Source organism: Homo sapiens, chromosome 4, assembly GCF_000001405.40.
Source record: "Homo sapiens chromosome 4, GRCh38.p14 Primary Assembly".
Classification (NCBI taxonomy): Eukaryota; Metazoa; Chordata; class Mammalia; order Primates; family Hominidae; genus Homo; species Homo sapiens.
In genome coordinates this window covers 8,145,069-8,162,753 of record NC_000004.12, presented here as the reverse complement: position 1 = coordinate 8,162,753, position 17,685 = coordinate 8,145,069, and the positions used below count along the sequence as shown (strand labels likewise).

The 17,685-nt window shown below is 56.3% G+C and overlaps 1 protein-coding gene across 14 annotated transcripts in view, besides 3 other annotated features; it reads left to right on the top strand.

Moving 5' to 3' along the window:
- Window positions 3,335–3,394: a silencer, noted in NCBI's record as "silent region_15257". NCBI's record gives its function as "represses an Ori minimal core promoter by ATAC-STARR-seq in GM12878 lymphoblastoid cells {active_cell/tissue: GM12878}" and the evidence as "EXISTENCE:reporter gene assay evidence [ECO:0000049][PMID:35858748]".
- Window positions 3,735–4,224: a silencer, noted in NCBI's record as "silent region_15256". NCBI's record gives its function as "represses an Ori minimal core promoter by ATAC-STARR-seq in GM12878 lymphoblastoid cells {active_cell/tissue: GM12878}" and the evidence as "EXISTENCE:reporter gene assay evidence [ECO:0000049][PMID:35858748]".
- Window positions 3,941–17,685, top strand: part of ABLIM2 (actin binding LIM protein family member 2) — a 193,487-nt gene continuing 179,742 nt past the window's right edge. For all 14 annotated transcript variants that reach the window (NM_001130086.2, NM_032432.5, NM_001130085.2 and 11 more), the window contains exon 1: window positions 3,941–4,074. In NM_001130086.2, coding sequence (NP_001123558.1) covers window positions 4,065–4,074 — 10 coding nt within the window. In that variant the 5' untranslated portion in view covers window positions 3,941–4,064. The remainder of the gene's footprint in view (window positions 4,075–17,685) is intronic.
- Window positions 11,729–12,603: an enhancer, noted in NCBI's record as "H3K4me1 hESC enhancer chr4:8151878-8152752 (GRCh37/hg19 assembly coordinates)". NCBI's record gives its function as "activates a minimal SCP1, AML or CMV promoter by ChIP-STARR-seq in primed H9 embryonic stem cells {active_cell/tissue: H9 hESC(primed)}" and the evidence as "EXISTENCE:reporter gene assay evidence [ECO:0000049][PMID:30033119]".

The following is a 17,685-nucleotide window of genomic DNA, read 5'->3' as shown; positions in this document are numbered from 1 at the left end:
AGACATTTGTGAAAGTGCGTGTTTGTGTTGAATTGCCTTTTTGTTATTTCTTTTTTTTTTTTTTTTTTTTTTGGACAGAGTCTCGCTCTGTCACCCAGGCTGGAGTGCAATGGCACGATCTCGGCTCACTGCAACCTCTGCCTCCCAGGTTCAAGCAATTCTCCAGCCTCAGCCTCCCCAGTAGCTGAGATTCCAGGCGTGCACCACCACGCCCGGCTAATTTTTGTGTTTTTAGTAGAGATGGGGTTTCTCCATGTTGGCCAGGCTGGTCTCGAACTCCTGACCTCGTGATCTGCCAGCCTCGGCCTCCCAAAGTGCTGGGATTACAGGAATGAGCCACCGCACCTGGCTGCCTTTTTGTTTTTTTATGGCTGCCTCTATCAGCGGGTCCGGGACCCCACATGTAAACCTGGAGCCCCAGGGAAGCAGCATTTGGCTTCGGATGGTTTGACCTGGGGTGTGATAGGCCACGGACCTGGGGCTGCCCTCTCTGCATTCTGCTCCCTCCATCGCTGGAACAACCAACATCCCATAATAGTGGTTAGGACACTCAGAAGGAGGGGGTGCTCTTGTTTCCCCCAGGGTCCTACTGGGGGTTCTGACCATTGTCTTCTGGCCTCCTGTGGGCCTGTCACCTTCCTGCTGGCCCTGGGCCGGCACCTGGCAGACCCCCATAACACTGCTGTCCTCCCCGAAGCCCAGAGCACCCCATCATAGAGCAGGGGAAAGGTGGACACATCACCTCTAAGTGTCTCCTAATCTCAAAAGAAAGCAGAGTGCCTGAAAGCGCGTCCCAGGGAGGCCAGGCCAGGGGTGCCTCCTGAAGCCTCCAGCCAGGGGCACCAGGAGGGGTGAAGGAAATCCTGCCCTTTACGCTGGTGCCTTGGAAAACTCTAGCTTTCCCCCTAGTGCTTCCCGGAATGAGAAGCCTGGGCCAAGTTTCTTCCCCTGTATAAGACTCCTCTCTGCAGAGCAGAGAAGTCCACAGTCCAGTGAAGCAGGCAGATTCTCAGGCAGGAGCGGTGCAGCCAAGGGCCGTGCTCCAAGTGTGGGTGTGGAAATGGGCAAATGGGGCCTGGGGCCTTCAAGGTCACTGCCTGGGGCACCCGCCTATCAGGGGCTTGATAGGATCCCCACTGAAATGGGATGGGAGCCCCCAGGGAACCTGGATAAGCACTGGAGGTAGAAGGGAGCCCCCGGAGTTCAGGTCTCTACCCGCTGCCTGCTGGAAGGAGGCATGGGTCACTGCAGGGCTTCCCTGTGTGGTGAAGGGCATGTGAGCTGAGGCTGGAGGAGGAGGGCAGGGGCTCCTGCTTCCATGTTGGTACCCTCCAAGGTACCCACCAAGGCCCTCCTCTAAATGCACGTTTAATGATTTTTTTTTTTCATGAGATAGGGTCTGTCACCCAGGCTGGAGTACAGTGGTCCGATCATGGCTCATTGCAACCTCCGCCTCCCAGGTTCAATCAATCATCCCAGCTCAGCCTCCAGAGTAGCTGGGACCACAGGCACACACCACTATACCCAGCTAATTTTTGTATTTTTTATAGAAACAGGGTTTTGCCATGTTGCTCAGGCTGGTCTCAAATTCCTGAGCACAAGCAATCCTCCCACCTTGGCCTCACAAAGTGCTGGGATTACAGGCGCGAGCCACCGCGCCCGGTCCCCTTTTAATAAACCTTTAAAGGACCTTGGTTTGACATATTTGGGGCCTCCCTGTGTCCATGAGCCCCTTGAAGACCCCCTGACACCCCACCAGGCCTGCTAAAAAATAAGAGGGGCAGCATTTTTCTAGAATGAATCTTGTGGCATGTGAAATGATTTCTTGTCTATCTTCTTCACTAGGACTAGAAAGCCCAGCACACTGAAGGTGTTTGAGAATCCTAAGGGGTATGTATGCACTGTGAGTTGAAGGATATAGAAACTGAGGCACACAGAGGGCAAGCAAGTTGCCTGAGGTCACACCTGGCCTGTAGTACCATGGACAGAGAACCAAGTCTGTTTCAATCGATTCAATTCAACCAGCAGATTCGCTGAAGTCCCAGTTCAGCAGACACGGAGCAGGAAGGAAAGAAAAGACCTGGCTCAAGCCCCACCCTGTCACTAACTTGCTGGGTGACTTGAGGCAGTATGTCTTTGGGCCTTGGTTTCTGCCCTTGTGAAAGAAGATGTTGGAACCACATGGCCCCGAGGCCCTTCCAGGTTGAGAACTGTTAAGGCTCCCCAGCCCCTTGTCCTGGGCTCTGGAACCAGTCTGGAATGGGGCACCCACATCCACCCTCTGGCTCACAGGGTCTTGGCAGAGAGGTGTGAGGGCTCCCTGCCGTCCTCACCAGGCTGTGTGGGGGAAATCATGGCACCCCTGGGAGGTTCTCAGGAGCCTTTGGAAACAGAGGGAGGAAACAGAGGCTGCGGGGGAGCCTGACCGAGAGCTCCTTAGAGGGCAAGTGGCAGCAGGGTGTACCTACGGCAGGTGGGTGCCTGGCCTACCTCTCAGGCTATGATCCAGGAGTGCCAGGTGCCAGCACTCTCCCCTCCCCTCTATCCTTCTCTCCGTTTATTCAACAGATATTTGCAGACTGCCTGCTCTGTGCCAGGCCCTATGTTAGCCACAGAGAATAATAATAGCAAAGCAAAGACATTTATTGATCTCAACTCACACTGGGTCATGGCACACATTAGTTCACTGATCCTTAGATCTGGCGCCCCCTCAATTACATGGCACAAGATCCCAGTGGACTGGCATGGGAACCCTGCGGCTGCGGGCAGAATCACCTAGCTGGGCCTCCTGGATTTCTAGGGTGTGTGGGGCTTGGCTGGTTCCCCAGGACTTCAGCTCCCCCACTGAGCCACTGTACTCCTGGCCTCCCATCCTGGCCCCTCTTGGGGGAGATGGCTGCTGCTGAGGGAGGGGGAGGAGTACCTGCTCCTGCCTCAGTGTTCCATTCAGTCTACATTTTCTGTGCCCAATCTTCTTCCACTTGTTGAAAGCATCTCCAAACAGCCCTGGCCCAAGCCAAAAGTCCTTGGCCTCTCTCTCCATGCCAGGTTCCCGCGATTCTGCATCCTAAATGCTCCTCCAGCCCAGGCCCTCCGCGCCTGGTGGGCATCCTTGTGTTTGCCGGCTCCTCCCGACCTCTCTGCAGCTCGCCTTTTGTCGCACCAGGCACACAGTGGGGACCCCTGCTCCTCCCCGTTCCCTGACTCCCTCTCCTGCACCCGCGTCCAGGCCCTGTGCTGGGCGCCTGATGTCACAGGGTAGCCGGTCACCGTGGAGGCTGGGGCCGGGGACTGCGCCGAAGTGAGCCGCGCCACCTCTCCCGGTGCACCCCCCAGCTGGGCGCCAGCCGGCGAGGAGCGACGGGAGCCTGGGGTGGGTGGCGAGGCGCGGACAGCCCAAGCCCGGAGGCAGGAAACCTGCGCACGAATCCCCACCAGTGCAAGCCTCGCCGACGGATGCGGGCTAATCCTGCCCGAGCACCGCCCCCGCCTCAGTTTCCCTCTCTGTAAACTGGTAAAGAAGAGTTGGCCCAGAAGGTCTTCAGGCGCCTTGTAGCTCGACTACTCAAGAAGAGCTGCACCAAGCTCGCTTTTCCCTGCGCCGCTCTCCTAGCGACTCCCGGATTCCGTGAGCGGCAGTCCCCACGTCGCCCCTCAGGCCGTGGCGACAGCTCTGCAGAGATCTAAGAACGATTGCGAAAGGCCTCAGCCGCCGTCGCCCGTCTGCGCCTGCGCTGGCCGCGAAGCGTGCTGGGACTTGTAGTCCGATCGCCCCGCAGCTGGGGAGCCAGGCGGAGCGGTGGCGTCGAGGTGCCTACACTTCCCAGGGTGCTCCCGGGCGGCAGCGGGGGCGCGGGGCGGGGCCGCCAGGAGGGGCGTGAGAGTGGGCGTGGCACGGGCGTGGCCTGCGCGCCGTGGGGCTGCGGCGGCGCTGCCTGGCGTGTGCGCAAGGAGCGGGCGCGGAGCCGGCGGGCGGGCGGAGGATAGCGCGGGCGCGGCACCTGCGGGCCCGAGGGTCTGGCTGTCGCAGCGCCGGGCCGCCCCGACTCCGAGCGGCTGCTGAGATGAGTGCAGGTGGGTGCTGGGGACCGAGGGACCAACGGGTCCCCGCGCTGGCTCGCGGCGCCGCAAGGGCTGGGTGGCATTCGGAGGCTGCACCTGCAACGCCGGGGAAAATCACCCAGCGGCTCCACCCAACTTTTGCTCCAGGATTTTGCAGCCCCGAGGGGCCAGAGCGCAGCCCTCTGCCCTGCGCCCGGAGCGCGTAGCTCAGTGGCGCGGGCCGGGGATCCTTTCCCAGCGCGCCGGCCGGCGTGGCTGCGCCAGGATGTCTGGAAGGCGCCCCTTCTTTGCTTCTCACGGGGGTCCGGGTTGTTCCAGGCTGCAGAAAGCGGTCAGGGTCCGCGCGGGGGCCTGGGGTCCGGGCGAAGGGCCGGGGCCCCAGCAGACCTAGGCACGCAGAGGTGAGATGATAGGCGGGGCTTTGCAGCTGGGGGCGCCGCCCTTGCGCCGCTCTGGCAGCGCCTGGGTTGGGGGCGTCAGGCCGACCCTCGGCGCCCAGGACTCTCCGCAGCAGATCTGGGGACCCGGAGCCCGCATGTGTCAGACCCGGCCCCGACCCGATCTCTGCGCGTCTCCAGCCCCTCGCCCCTGCGCGTCGCACCCCTGCCTTTCCCGCCGCACCCACCCTCCGGGATCTGACAGCCTCTGTGCGGGGCTGGAAAAATCCCACAGCGCTGGAGCCCAGCCGCGCCTTGTGCTGTTGGGGAAACTGAGACCTAGAACTGGAGCCCTTGGCGGTGAGCCCTGGAGGCGGCCTGAGGATGCCCGGATCTGAGAGCCTCCTGGGGCCCGCACCGGGCTGAGGGCTTGTCGTTGCATTCCCGGCAGGGAAGGGCTGTCACCCCATTTTTCAGGGTGTGACCCGAGGCGCACCAGGCTTGAGTCACTTGCTTGGCTCAGGAAGGGGGGGCGGGGATTCGAACCCCGGGCTCACTGACTCTTGTGCTCTTTCCTCTAAGCCTGTCGCGCCAGGGACTGCAGTATGGCCCTTGGCCATGGTGCAGAAACCAATGGGGACAGCCGCTTCCCCTGAGGGAGATCGGACTGGGGAGAGAATGTGAATTTAGTAAGAGCTTCCTGTGGGCTGTAGGCCTAGAAGGGGGCGGGGGCTAAGGGCCAGGGACTCCCCTCCCTGGGGAGATTGTCTCCCTCCCCCTCCAATCCAAGGAAGGAGGGACGGCGTTGCCGGGAGCCTTTGGGAGTAGCTGAGAGCAATGGCAGGCGGTTGGGGAGGTCAGAGGCAGAACCCTTTGGAAGAGGATTTCTGAAATGGCCAACCTAGTTATCTGGGAGTGGCTGGGGAGCAGGGCACCCTGAGACTTGGCAGAACCTCCAGACACATTTATCTAATGGCAGGTGGGGATAATGGCTGGGTGCACACAGAGTAATTTTATGCTTCTTGTGGCCATAATTGATACCTGTGGTCCCCCCTGTCATCAGGGAGAGCCTCAGAAGCAGTGCTGGCATCTCTCCTCTGCATCTGACGAGAAGGGGTGTGGGGGCACTGGGGCAGTTGGGGGCAGAGACTGGGGTTTGAACCATGGTGACTGCCTGGTGGTCTTAGGCATAGGTGGCACCTTCCAGAGCTTGGCTTCCTGACCTGTAAGAGCAGTAGCATTGGTTGCCTGGAGGGGACAAGGTACAACATGAAGAGCCCCACACCTGGGAGGCCCTCGGTAGTTTGGGATGGTCATTGCTGGGTGGCCAGCTCAGCTCAGACCCTCTGAATCAATCCAGCCCTTTGGAACTGGCAATGTGTGCTCTCCGGGCCACCTGTCGCCCCTGCCCAGCCCTGTCCCCAGCCGATGATGCGCACAGCAGGCATTCCACCCACACAGTGGGGGAGAGCAGACAGCATGGTCCCTTGTTCCTGGCATGTGGGCTCTAACGTCCGGCCACTGTGTATGTCTGGCAGGACAGGAGCTTCCATCATCAACAAGGGCAACAAGGGCAGGTCCCCTGTGGCCCTCCCCACACCCGCTGGCATTATTCCAGAGCTCAGCACTGGTAGGAGTGGCTGAGCATCATCTGGTCCAGTCTCCAGCTGCCCAAATGGGCCGAAGGCTTAGAGCCCAGGGCAGCCTGTCTAACCCTCGTGTGCTGCAGGCTCCCTGTTCCTTTGGGCTGTGTCCATGTCTTCAGTTCCTGACACAGGGCACCTCCAGGATGACCCAGGTGTGGATCGAGGCCATGCAGTTGCCTTACTTTTGTTGCCTGTTGATTTCAGGTGGCCAGAGCGATTGTTTATATAGCACATGGCAAGGTGGAAGGAGATGGCATCCCATACCAGACAGGCCTGGATCCGAATCCAATGTCCTAGCTGTGGGGCGCCCCCTGCCTCAGTTTCCCCAGTAGTATGGCCGGCCAGTCCACACATGGTGAGCCCAGCAAGTGACAATCAGTGTGGTGTAGCTTCATCTCACTGCAGCCCATGTGGTCACAAGGGGACCAGTAGGGGGTGGGGTTGAGGAAGGTACCTGAGCTGGGGCAGGGGGTGGGGTGGGGGGATTCCAGTGCCAGGTCTGCCACCAGTGGGCACCAGATCCTTGAGCAAGGCCTGTGCTCCTTCTGAGCCTAAATATCCTCCTGGGCAGCTGCTGGCCTGGCAGATCAGATTCCCCCAGGTGGACAGAGGCTCCTGAGGGGTTGTGTTAATTTGCTCCATAACAAAGTACTAAAGACCAGGTGGCTTAAAGAGAAGACACTTATTTTTTTGCTGATTCTAGAGGCCAGAAGTCTGAGATCAAGGTGTCAGCTGGGTTACTTCCTTCCAAAGCCCCTCTCCTTGGCTTGTGGACGGCCGCCCTCTCCCTGTGTCCTCGCCCCGTCTTCCCTTTGTGTGTGTCTGTGTCCTCGCCCCGTCTTCCCTTTGTGTGTGTCTGTGTCCTCGCCCCGTCTTCCCTTTGTGTGTGTCTGTGTCCTCGTCCCGTCTTCCCTTTGTGTGTGTCTGTGTCCTAATCTGTTCTTATGAAAACCCCAGCCAGACTTGGTTAGAGCCTACCCTCATGACCTCGTTTCACCTTAGTGGTCTCCTTAAAGGTCCTGTCTCCATGCATAGTCACATCCTGGAGTACTGGGGGTTAGGACTTCAGCATATGAATTTAGACAATTCAGTCCATAACAGGGGTGCGGGGCCAAGGGCGGCCTTGTGGCTGGCTCAGCCTTCTGTTTCCATGCTGCTCTTAGGATCATGGAACTGGAAGGGACATGAGGAATGTTCCAGCCCAAACCCACCCACCTGCACAAAGGGGGAAACCAAGGTTTAGGGAAGGAAAAGCAGCTGTCCAGGGCCAAGGAGAGGATGTGGCAGAGCCCGAACCTGAGCCCTAGTCCCCAGACTGTGGACGGTGCAGATCCTAGTATTTGGAACAGAGACACATTTCTTCACCTAATCCAAGAATGGGCAATGATGTAGCCACAGAAACATTCATCTCAGACTTACTAGTAACAACAAAATGTTAGAAACCACCAAACCGTGGAAGCCAGTGATGGAATATGAGCCATCTGTTCCATCTCACTCACTCGTTATTCAGCAAAGATGCACAAAATGCCTACTATGAGCTGATACGGTCTGGCTGTGTCCCCACCCACATCTTACCTTGAGTTGTAATAATCCCCACGTGTCAAGGGCAGGGCCAGGTGGAGATAATTGAATCACAGGGGTGGTTTCCCCCATACTGTTCTCATGGTGGTGATTAAGGCTGGCGATAGCTGGTGGTTTTATAAAGGGCAGTTCCCCTGCACACGCTCTCTTGCCTGCTGCCATGTGAGACGTCCCTTTGCCCCTCCTTCGTCTTCCGCCATGATTGCGAGGCCTCCCTAGCCATGTGGAGCTGTAAGTCCATGAAACCTATTTCCTTTACAAATTACCCAGTCCTGGGTATGTCTTTATTGGCAGCATGAGAACAGACTAATACGTGAGCCCACGCTGCTCCAGGCCCTGGGATTCAGCAACAGACGAGAACAACCCAAAATCTATGTTCTCTTGAACTTACATTCTAATTGGGCGGTGGGGAAGATGTATATGAAGTTACTACCCACATGAAGAATTAACTACATATGTAAAGAATTTCTAATGTTAGGAGAAAATGCTTAAGAAAACAGGTTTAATTGGCCGGGTGCGGTGGCTTACGCCTGTAATCCCAGCACTTTGGGAGGCCGAGGCGGGTGGATCACAAGGTCAGGAGATTGAGACCATCCTGGCCAACATGGTGAAACCCCATCTCTACTAAAAATACAAAAATTAGCTGGGTGTGGTGGTGGGTGCCTGTAATCCCCACTACTCAGGAGGCTGAGGCAGGAGAATCGCTTGAACCAGGGAGTCAGAGGTTGCAGTGAGCTGAGATCGTGCCACTATACTCCAGCCTGGTGACAGAGCAAGACTCTGTCTCCAAAAAAAAAAAAAAAAAAGAAAAGAAAAGAAAATAAGTGGCTGGGTGCGGTGGCTCACGCCTGTAATCCCAGCACTTTGGGAGGCCGAGGCGGGTGGATCACAAGGTCAGGAGATGGAGACCATCCTGGCTAACACAGTGAAACCCCATCTCTACTAAAAATACAAAAAATTAGCTGGGCGTGGTGGCAGGTGCCTGTAGACCCAGCTACTCGGGAGGCTGAGGCAGGAGAATGGCGTGAACCTGGGAGGCAGAGCTTGCAGTGAGCCGAGATCACGCCACTGCACTCCAGCCTGGGCGACAGAGTGAGACTGTATCTCAAAAAAAAAAAAAAAAAGAAAAGAAGTTTAATTTAGAAAACAGCTCAGGACAAAATTGTATTTCATATAGGATGTCAACTCTACAGAAACAGTGAGGGAGGCAATGTCGGGAAGTGCCGTCGGTGCCCATCTGTAAGATGTGGGAGAAGGAACAAAGTTTTCCGTCTTCTGCACCTTTTTACTTTCCATGTGTTTTCCAAGTTTTCTTCATTGTGTGCCCTTTTCTTTTGTACTGAAAGATCAAATGGAAAGAAGAGAGCACACTCTGCCTCCAGCGCTGGTAGAAACCCATCACTCCGGGAGAAGCCCGGCGATTCCGTTCTGCAGGGCCACTATCTGCTGCGTGGGATGGGGGTGTCTCCCAGCATCGAGGGAGCTTAGCACAGGCAGCTGCACTGCTGCAGATTTTCCCTGCCTGACTCCACTCTGAATGAGGTGCAGCAGAAGCCAGACCCCCCTGACCCAGAAATTCATCTGAGATTGTATCTGGAGAGGACTGCCGTTGCCCAGGCATTGGCAGTCTCCGCTTAACCTGGTCACCCCCAAGCTCTGCCCTGTTCTTCCGTGATGTGCAGGGTTCCTTCCTAACCTGGCCACTCAAGATCCTTTGACTCTTTATGGTTTCTGTCAATGAGATGGTTTGGGGGTAGATAGGATATTTTGTAGAATCAAGTCTTGAGTTTGATGAACTCTTGGAAAGTTCAATCTTACTGTCCCAGAAAAAGGTGTGTGTCCCTGACTCATGGAAAAGCTGCCTGGCCCGCACCCTGGGCTTCCAGAGCATCATCTGGGTCACGGGAGACCTCTGAGCTCGAGAGGAAATTGGCAAGACTGGGAGATGAAGGGGCCTGTCTTGTCGCTGGCCCTTTAAGCGGGCACTGCCTATCCTTGAAGCCAGATCAGGCTGCTGGCCTGATGCCATCAACCAACCCCAGAGCCTAGATTCCATAGTCCCTTCCCTGCAAAGATACTTAGGGCCCTTCCTTGCTGCACCCCTTGGCTGTGCCTCTGCCTGGGTAGGGCTCCGTAAAACCTACCTTGAAGTGGGGTCTCAGGCTCACACCCAGCCCTGCCACTTGCTAGCATGATCAAAGATAAGACCTCTGTGTCCTTCTTTCCATTGCTGCCCCTCCCCAGAGTCTTGGTAGGGATTGAGGGTCTCATGAGCTGACCAGTCTCTGCCTGGCACGTGGTAGAGGCTCACAGAGGTTGTTAAAATAGTTGCAATAGGAAAACATGGGTCATGTCCTGGGATAGCTCCTAGTGCTTGAGGCTGATCACATGGGTCCTGCAGTCATCCCCGCATGATGGACGCGGCTGTCCCAGTCCCGGGGAAGCCCCGAAAGAGCAGACCTCCGAGGCTCGCACCCAGCACAGAGCAACCCGAGTCGAGCAGTCTTAATTTACTCAAGGAATTTTTCCATCGCCAGGGCTGCTCAGGGTGTCTAGGGTGTCGGGCAGCACCCAGGTGGGACAGGCTTAAATGTCGCAGAGACTGCGGCTCATCAAGTGCCGCCCTGGGGCCCTGGGCCAGATGCTCGTATAGGTTTCCTCCCGGGGTCCTCGCAGCGCTGCTCGGAGCGGCCGGTGGCATCTCTACCTACGGAGGAAGAAATGCCTGCGAGTCCCGTCTGGTGCCTGGTGTCACGTGATTTGTAAATGGCAGCGCTGGGATTTGAACCCCAGTGTGCCCGACTCAGCCGCAACACGCGTATCCCTGGCTAGGCGGGCGCTGTCTGCCTATCCCCTGCCTGCGTGCTTTAGCCGGTGGCTGTGGGGGATTGGTTGCTGCCTCATAACGCGTGGCTGAGTGTTGGTGTGGATAAAGCCTGGCCCGTTTGGGGGCATCATGATGGCGCTTCTTGGTGAGGGTCTCACACAGCCCATCTTCTCGCCTGGGCCGTGGTGTGTTATTCCCATTTTCCAGCTGCGGGACCTGCCAGCACAGAGCCAGGAGGCAGGACAAGACCCAAACCCGCCTCCTATGGGGGTTCCTGCCTAGCGTCATTGCATGGCCTCTGTGACTCACCCTCAGATAGCCTGGGCCTGAGAAGGACTTTCACCACATTGAGCCCATGTGCCCCCCTGGAACCCTGACCCTCTGCTCCGACTCCCCCACCCCCACCCCAAGTCCTGCAATCCCCCCAGGGCCCATCTGTTCCACTGAAGGCAGTGCCTCTCCCCCTGCTTACACAGCCCAGCCCAGCAGCGTCTCCAGCCCCTCGCCTGGACCTCTGTGACCTTGGACAAGTCATCGTCCCTCTGTGCCTCAGTGTACCCATCTGTAAAAACAGGGCCACTGCCATCCTCGGGGTACAACCCTGCTTTCTTCTGACACCACCGCCCCACCCCGCCCACTGTTTGGGTGTGAGGCCTGGCTGCCATTTTAGGGACCCTGCTGCGCCCACCTTTCTCATCTGGCTCTCGAGATGCTCCCAGCTGGGTGAGCAGTACTTGGGCCTCACGCTGAGGGTCTCTGGCGTGGAGGGAGGTGCCTTGCCGCCTGTGGATTAGCAGCTTCTGTGGATGTCTGCCTGGAGCTCGAGCTAGGAGGGCAGCTGGGTCCCTCGCGTCTGTGGGAAGGACTGGGGCGGAGGAGGGGGCTTTGGATTCTGGGACGCTCACTGGTCCTTGTGGGTGCCAGGGCTGGCTCTGGGGCTTCTCGCCATCAGCAGCTTCCAGGCCTACAACAAACAGGTCTGCTGCGGATAACGAGCTGGGTGGCTTCATGTCACTTCCCTTGGCTGAACATTTCCAAATGTGAGGGGGCCAGTCTGGGTGCCTCAGAAGATGCACTGGCTTTGGGGCTGGGCACACCTGGGCTCCAGCCCCAATCGTCACTTGCTAGTTGTGTGTTTCTCCAAGCGGATTGTTTAAATGCCCTTTGCCTTAGTTTCCCCACATAAAAAGTACAGGTGATGACAGCTGCTTTTGAGGGGTTACTGTAGACTCAGAGATGCTGAGTGAGAGTCAAGGGCCTGGGCACGGCAGGCACCAGGGAACGGGCAGAATGGCCTTTGTCACAGCTGTAAATACCCTTCACAGCTCAGGGACAAACCTGACGTCGTGCCCCGTGGGAGCCGCTTTGGCATCATCAGCCACACCCTAGGCTGGGTTCATAGCTTCCCCTCCCCTTCTCTGGTCCTGCTGTCTCCCCTGCCAGCCCCATCTCAGTCCTGGTTACAAGGCTGCAGCCCAGTGCCAGGAGAAGCACCGTCTCCAGAGAGCCACCCAGCTCCCGGTTTTCTCGGCACAGCATCCTCAGGAGGCGTGGTGTCTTGAGTCATCGGTCTCAGCTCGAAGCTTCATTTTAGCTGCATTCTACTGAGCAGCCCCCATCCCAGGCAGCAGCAGTGGCTCCTCCCGCCTCCGGCACGGAGCTCGCACCCTGTGCTGGAAGTTTGGGACTTTGGTTTCTCTGTGCTTAGAGAGACGAGTTAGAGAGACGATCTGGAAATGTGAGTCCAGCCAGCGCACCAAGAAAAGTGCTCAGTGTCACTGCGGCTAGCATGCTGCCTCTGTCCTCGCTGGCGTCTGTCCTCAGGGCACGATGGGGCCTTGTACTGGCTCCCCTGAAAGCCACTCAGGTAGAATGAGAGGAGGCATTTCGTGAACACCCAAGGAGTGGAGGATGTGTGATGGGTGGAACTCCGTCCCCAGTTCAGCATGGCCTCCTCATCTGTCTGCCGTCATTCCATAAGACAGCCTGGCCTGTCTCTCTGACCCTCTGCTTCTGCAGACCTCAGTGTCCCCGGGATCGCACATGGAAAATGACATCAGTTGATGCTGCAGCTGGACACGAAGTGCCCAGAAGGAAGAATTCCAAGGAGCATCCAGACCTTCAACCTGGCAGCCTAGTTTCAAATGCCCTCATGATGTTCCAACCCCTTTGCCCCACAACTCTCTCCATTTAGGCTCCCTGAGTAGGTGCAGTGGGAACTTGGGTGCAGGTGGTTTACCTAGGAGGTGACCCCAGGAAGCACGAGGGAGGTGTGAGGAGGGTAAGGGGGGAAGGGAGGGGAAGCCAGGAGGGGGCATTTGGATGGGGGCCACCACTCTGGCAAGTGGGGACTCAGTCCCACTGGGAGCCTCTGAATCGTCCCACAGAGGGACCGGCTGTGTGGGGTCTTACTCCATAGGCCCCGTCCTGTCTGGGCGCAGGGCCAGTCCTGAGTGTGAGGTGCTGGGGAAGTCTCAGCCTAGGTCCGGGCCTTCTCTGTGTCCAGCAGTCAACAGCCTCCCAAGGGCTCAGAGCTCTTCCAGAATGTCCCTTCTGTCCCTCCACGACTATTTATTAAGCACCTACTATGTGCTGTCTTTGCCCTGATCCCCCAACAGCCTTGCATTCTTCCTGCCGCCTTCTGCCTGCCCCCGCTCCCCTGGAGTCCCTCCTCCTCTCCCTTTCAAGGCTCTGCCGGACTCCAGGGCCTCTGTGAAGCTTTCTTCCCATCTCTAGGCCCTCTGCTTCCCTCCTTCCTCTGAACCTGTGGACACAGACCAAGCTGGGGTTTCCTGTGGAGATTTGTGCCTGCTCCTGCCTGCTCTGCAGCCTGGAGCTGGGACCTGCCCTCTCTGAAATACCTCCTCTTGGATGGTGTTGGGGGGCTGAACAGTGGACTCAAAGGTGCCCATGTCCTAATCCCAGGCCCTGTGACTATGTGACCTCATGCGGCAAAATGACTGTTCATATGCGACTATGTGAAGGATTTTGCCACAGGGAGACTGCTCTGGATTTCAGGGGGCCTGAGGCTTCTCGCTAACGGGAGGCAGGAGGCAGCAGAGAGGAGAGAGAAGTCTCCACGCCTGGCTCTGAGGATGAAGGGAGGGGCCCCACACCAAGAAACTCGGGTGCCCCTAGAAGCTGGAAGAGGCACGGAAGTGGATCTCCCCCGGAGCCTCCAGATGGCCCCAGCCCTACAGACCCCTTCACACTCTGGCTGGATCTGCCCTGGTATCTGGGGACCCCAGATCTCAGCGTGGCCTGACTCTCCGTAGTGTCTGGGGACCCTGGGCCTTGGCACAGCTGGACTCTCCCTGGTGCCTCCAGATCCCGGGTCCTGGCGTGGCCTGATCTCCCGGGTGCCTGCGGAGCCCAGGTTTCTTGGTACATCAGCAGCTCTGGGAGGAGATAGGGGTGGTCTCATGGAGAGGTGGGGGTCCAGGAACCAGCCCAGGCCATGTACCCCCTGAGCCTTGGCCTCCTCATCTCTGTTGGGGTTGGGCTTGTCCTAGAGGATCTTTCCGACTCTGAGTTCCTGTGTGGTTTGGGGCAATGGACACCTTGGGATGTAGCATTTGCTTCCAGGCAAGCAGGACTCTGCTGTGCATGCCCACGGGGGAACGGCTTACGCGCTTCCCCAGTGTGGACCCAGCACCGCGATGTGCTTTCACCCTATAATCCTTACATCAGAGCTCCTTGCTCGGGACTACCAGTATTCCCACTTCACAGGTGAGCAAACGGAGGCCCAGGGAATTAGGTAACTCTCCCGAGGTGATTCGGCTGAGAAGCACCGTGCCAGCTGCAGAACCCGCACTCCTAACTGTGGTGCGCCATGGCCCCCCCGCGTCCTGAGCGGCTCCCTCACCTCCTGTGGGCCCTGCTTCACTGTAGGCCCAGAGCCCCCTCTGGAATCCAGTGGGGAGGCCTCCGCAGGCCCACAGTGCTGCTTAGGTCACCTGCAGCTGCAGCCCTCTCATCCACCAGCTCATCCTCTCCCCTCCAGACACACTGGGCCCTTCAGAACCTGCCTGGCCCAGGGCCCCCACAGGAGAGCTTCTGCTGCACCGCCGCCACGTCTTCCTTTTCTCCCTCTGCCCCTGCCTCCTGCCACTCCAAACCCCTTCTCTGCCGGGGAAGGTGCGCATGGTGGGCTTTGGTGAGGGGTTTCTCCCCCAGCAAGGTCGGGCCACTATCCCTTGTTGCCTGCCCACCTGGGCCTCAGGGAACCACACCAGAGTTTGGGGTTGGTCTGCAGCTGGGCCCTGACTCGTGCCCCTTCTTCTGGGATATTGGGCCTAGGGCTGACTTCGTGATTAAAGGGCGATTCACCCATTAAAGAAAGGGTTTTGTGCAGGTCCGTGCCTCGCTCAGGGAAGATGGCACAACCAGAGTGCTGGGCAAAGGCCACCTGTGAGTGTCTAGGGGCTGCGGTCACCAGTGACCACAAGCTGGGAGGCTTAAAGCAAGAGAAGGCATTTCCTCCCAGCTCTGGAGGCCAGCAGTTCAATGTCAGTGTCCGAGGCTAAACGGCGCTGGCAGCTCCCTCGGGGGCTCAGGGGAGGCTCAGTCCTCACCCCTGCAGCTTTGGTGGCTGCCAGATTCTGAGGTTTGTGGCCACGTTGCTCCAATCTTCAAGGCAGAGTCTTCAAACCTCCCTCAGCTCCATCTTCATGCTACTTCTCCCCTGTGTGTGTCGTCTCCCGCTCCCTCCTCCCCATAAGGACTCTTGAGATTGCACTCAGAGCCCGCCCATAGCATCCAGAATCATCTCCCAGTCTCTAGACGCTTTATGTAAATCACATCTGCAAAGACCCCTCCCCTTTTAACCATATATGTCACAGGTTTTAGCGATTAGATGGGGATATCTTCTGGGGGAGGCATTACTCAGCCGGGCACAGGTAGTCTCTTGGTGCATCCTGTTTACCGGGTCAATACCTTTTCTTCTCCCTGTGGAGTCTCTAGGATGGATGAGAGAGTGAGAATGACTTCTCATAGGATAAAAAAAATGTTACTCGCTAAATTTAAACGTCCCGGGAGTTAGATCCTGTCACAGACTGTGGATAAGAATATGAATTGGTCTAATCTTTTGAGGAGCAGTTAGGTGAAATGTATGGAGACTTAAATACATTCATGCCTTTTGATGGAATAATGCGACTTCTGGGAATCTCTTCTGAAGAAAGCCTCTGAAACACAGACATGAATTTCAGAAATAAAAAGCCGTTGATTGCAGGGGTTACATGCTCTGCAACGTAAATGTCCAACCGCAGAACACTGGCTAAGGAAATTCCTGTCCATCTATGGCAGCATTTATCAAACTTCTAGGGCCTCAGGGTTCAATTACTGAGGACCCCAGAGAGCTTTTGCTTATGTGCATTATATTTCTTGATATTTATTGTATTCGAAATTAAAACAATTTAAAAAAACATTTGTTGACTGGGCATGGTGGCTCACACCTGTAATCCCAGCGCTTTGGGAGGCCAAGGTGGACAGATCACTTCAGCTCAGGAGTTCAAGGCCAGCCTGGGCAACATAGTGAGATCCCGCCTCTACAAAAAATAAAAAAATTAGCTGGGCATGTGCCTAGTCCCAGCTACTCTGGAGGCTGAGGCAGGAGGATCGCTTGAGCCTGGGAGGTTGAGGCTGCAGTGAGCCATGATTGCACCACTGCACTCCAGCCTGGGTGGCACGGTGAGACCCTGTCTCCAAAAATATATATAAATAAATGAAAATTGAAAAATAAAAAATGTGTTAAACCGCAAAAGGACAATGACTGCTCTGCACGCTAACATAAGAGCATTTTTAGCGAGCCGAGGCACTGCTTTACAGCTTTGCAAATCTCATTAATATCTGACTTTGTAGGTGACGGCTGGATTCTGACGTCTGCCCTGTGTTAAATCAGTTGTGACGTCACATGTCATGCGGCCTCTGCAAAACTCCATTGTACACTCAGGACAGACTGAGAGTGAAAAGGGAAACCATATCTTCGTGTTGTTATTGAAAGGATTTTGACCACCAAACCCTGTGTGAGGTCCTGAGGACTGCCCTAGACCATACTTTGACAGCTGCTGATAAAAGATGGAATATTGTGCATTAAAAATATTATGAAGCATGAATAAAGTCTATGTGAAGGCTGGTGGTAGACGAAGAATACAGGACGCATCATTTCTTACAGTCTGCAAAAGATGCAGAAAAACATCTCAGAAAAAAAATGTGCTAGGATCATGGGCAATTTTCCTTTGTTCCTAATGCTTTGCTGTTCTATGTTTTCACTGCTGATCCATTTTAAGGACATGCTAGTGGCGGGTTTGCTCAATTCTAGTTCTCAAGGACACTCCATTAGGAAGCAGCTGTCAGCCTCCCCGGCGGCTGGCCAGGTCCTCTTGCTCTGAGATACTCTATTTTGAGAGGTGGACTTTCACTGTTGAGCTAGGGCTGTGAGCGGTATTGACATGTTACAAGCACAGGGATCTCGTGTGTGTGTGTGTGTGTGTGTGTGTGTGTGTGTGTGTGTGTGTATGAGTGTGTAGTCTGGGGATAATTTAGTCTACGGTTATAAAAGAGAGGGAGTTCTGCTCTGGAGCAAAATCCATGGTTGCCAATGAGAAATTAGGAGCTGGCCTGAGATTTCATGTCCTCAGCTGGAATGCTAGCACCCAGCAGGGCTCCAGCAGAGAGCTAAATATATCCTGGGTGTGCTGGCAACCTCAGGAACCCCCGGCGCTCACCAGAGTGGGATCCAAAGGGAGTGATTGATTTGTCTAATGAAAATCAATACCTGGCCGGGCGCGGTAGCTCATGCCTGTAATCCCAGCACTTTGGGAAGCCGAGGTGGGCAGATCACCTGAGGTCAGGAGTTCAAGATCAGCCTGGCCAACATGGAGAAACCCCGCCTCTACTAAAAATACAAAAATTAGCTGGGCGTGGTGGTGTGTGCCTGTAATCCCAGCTACTCAGGAGGCTGAAGCAGGAGAATTGCTTGAATCTGGGAGGCGAAGATTGCAGTGAGCTGAGATCATGCCACTGCACTCCAGCCTGGGCGACAGAGCGAGACTCTGTCTGGAAAAAAAAAAAAAATCAATACCTGCCATTTACAGAGCACCTAGCAACACTGGGCACAGGAGCGAGGCTGTAGATTGATCTCCGACACCACAAAGCCCTGTGGGGTGATGTCACTGCTCCCAGTTGGCAGATG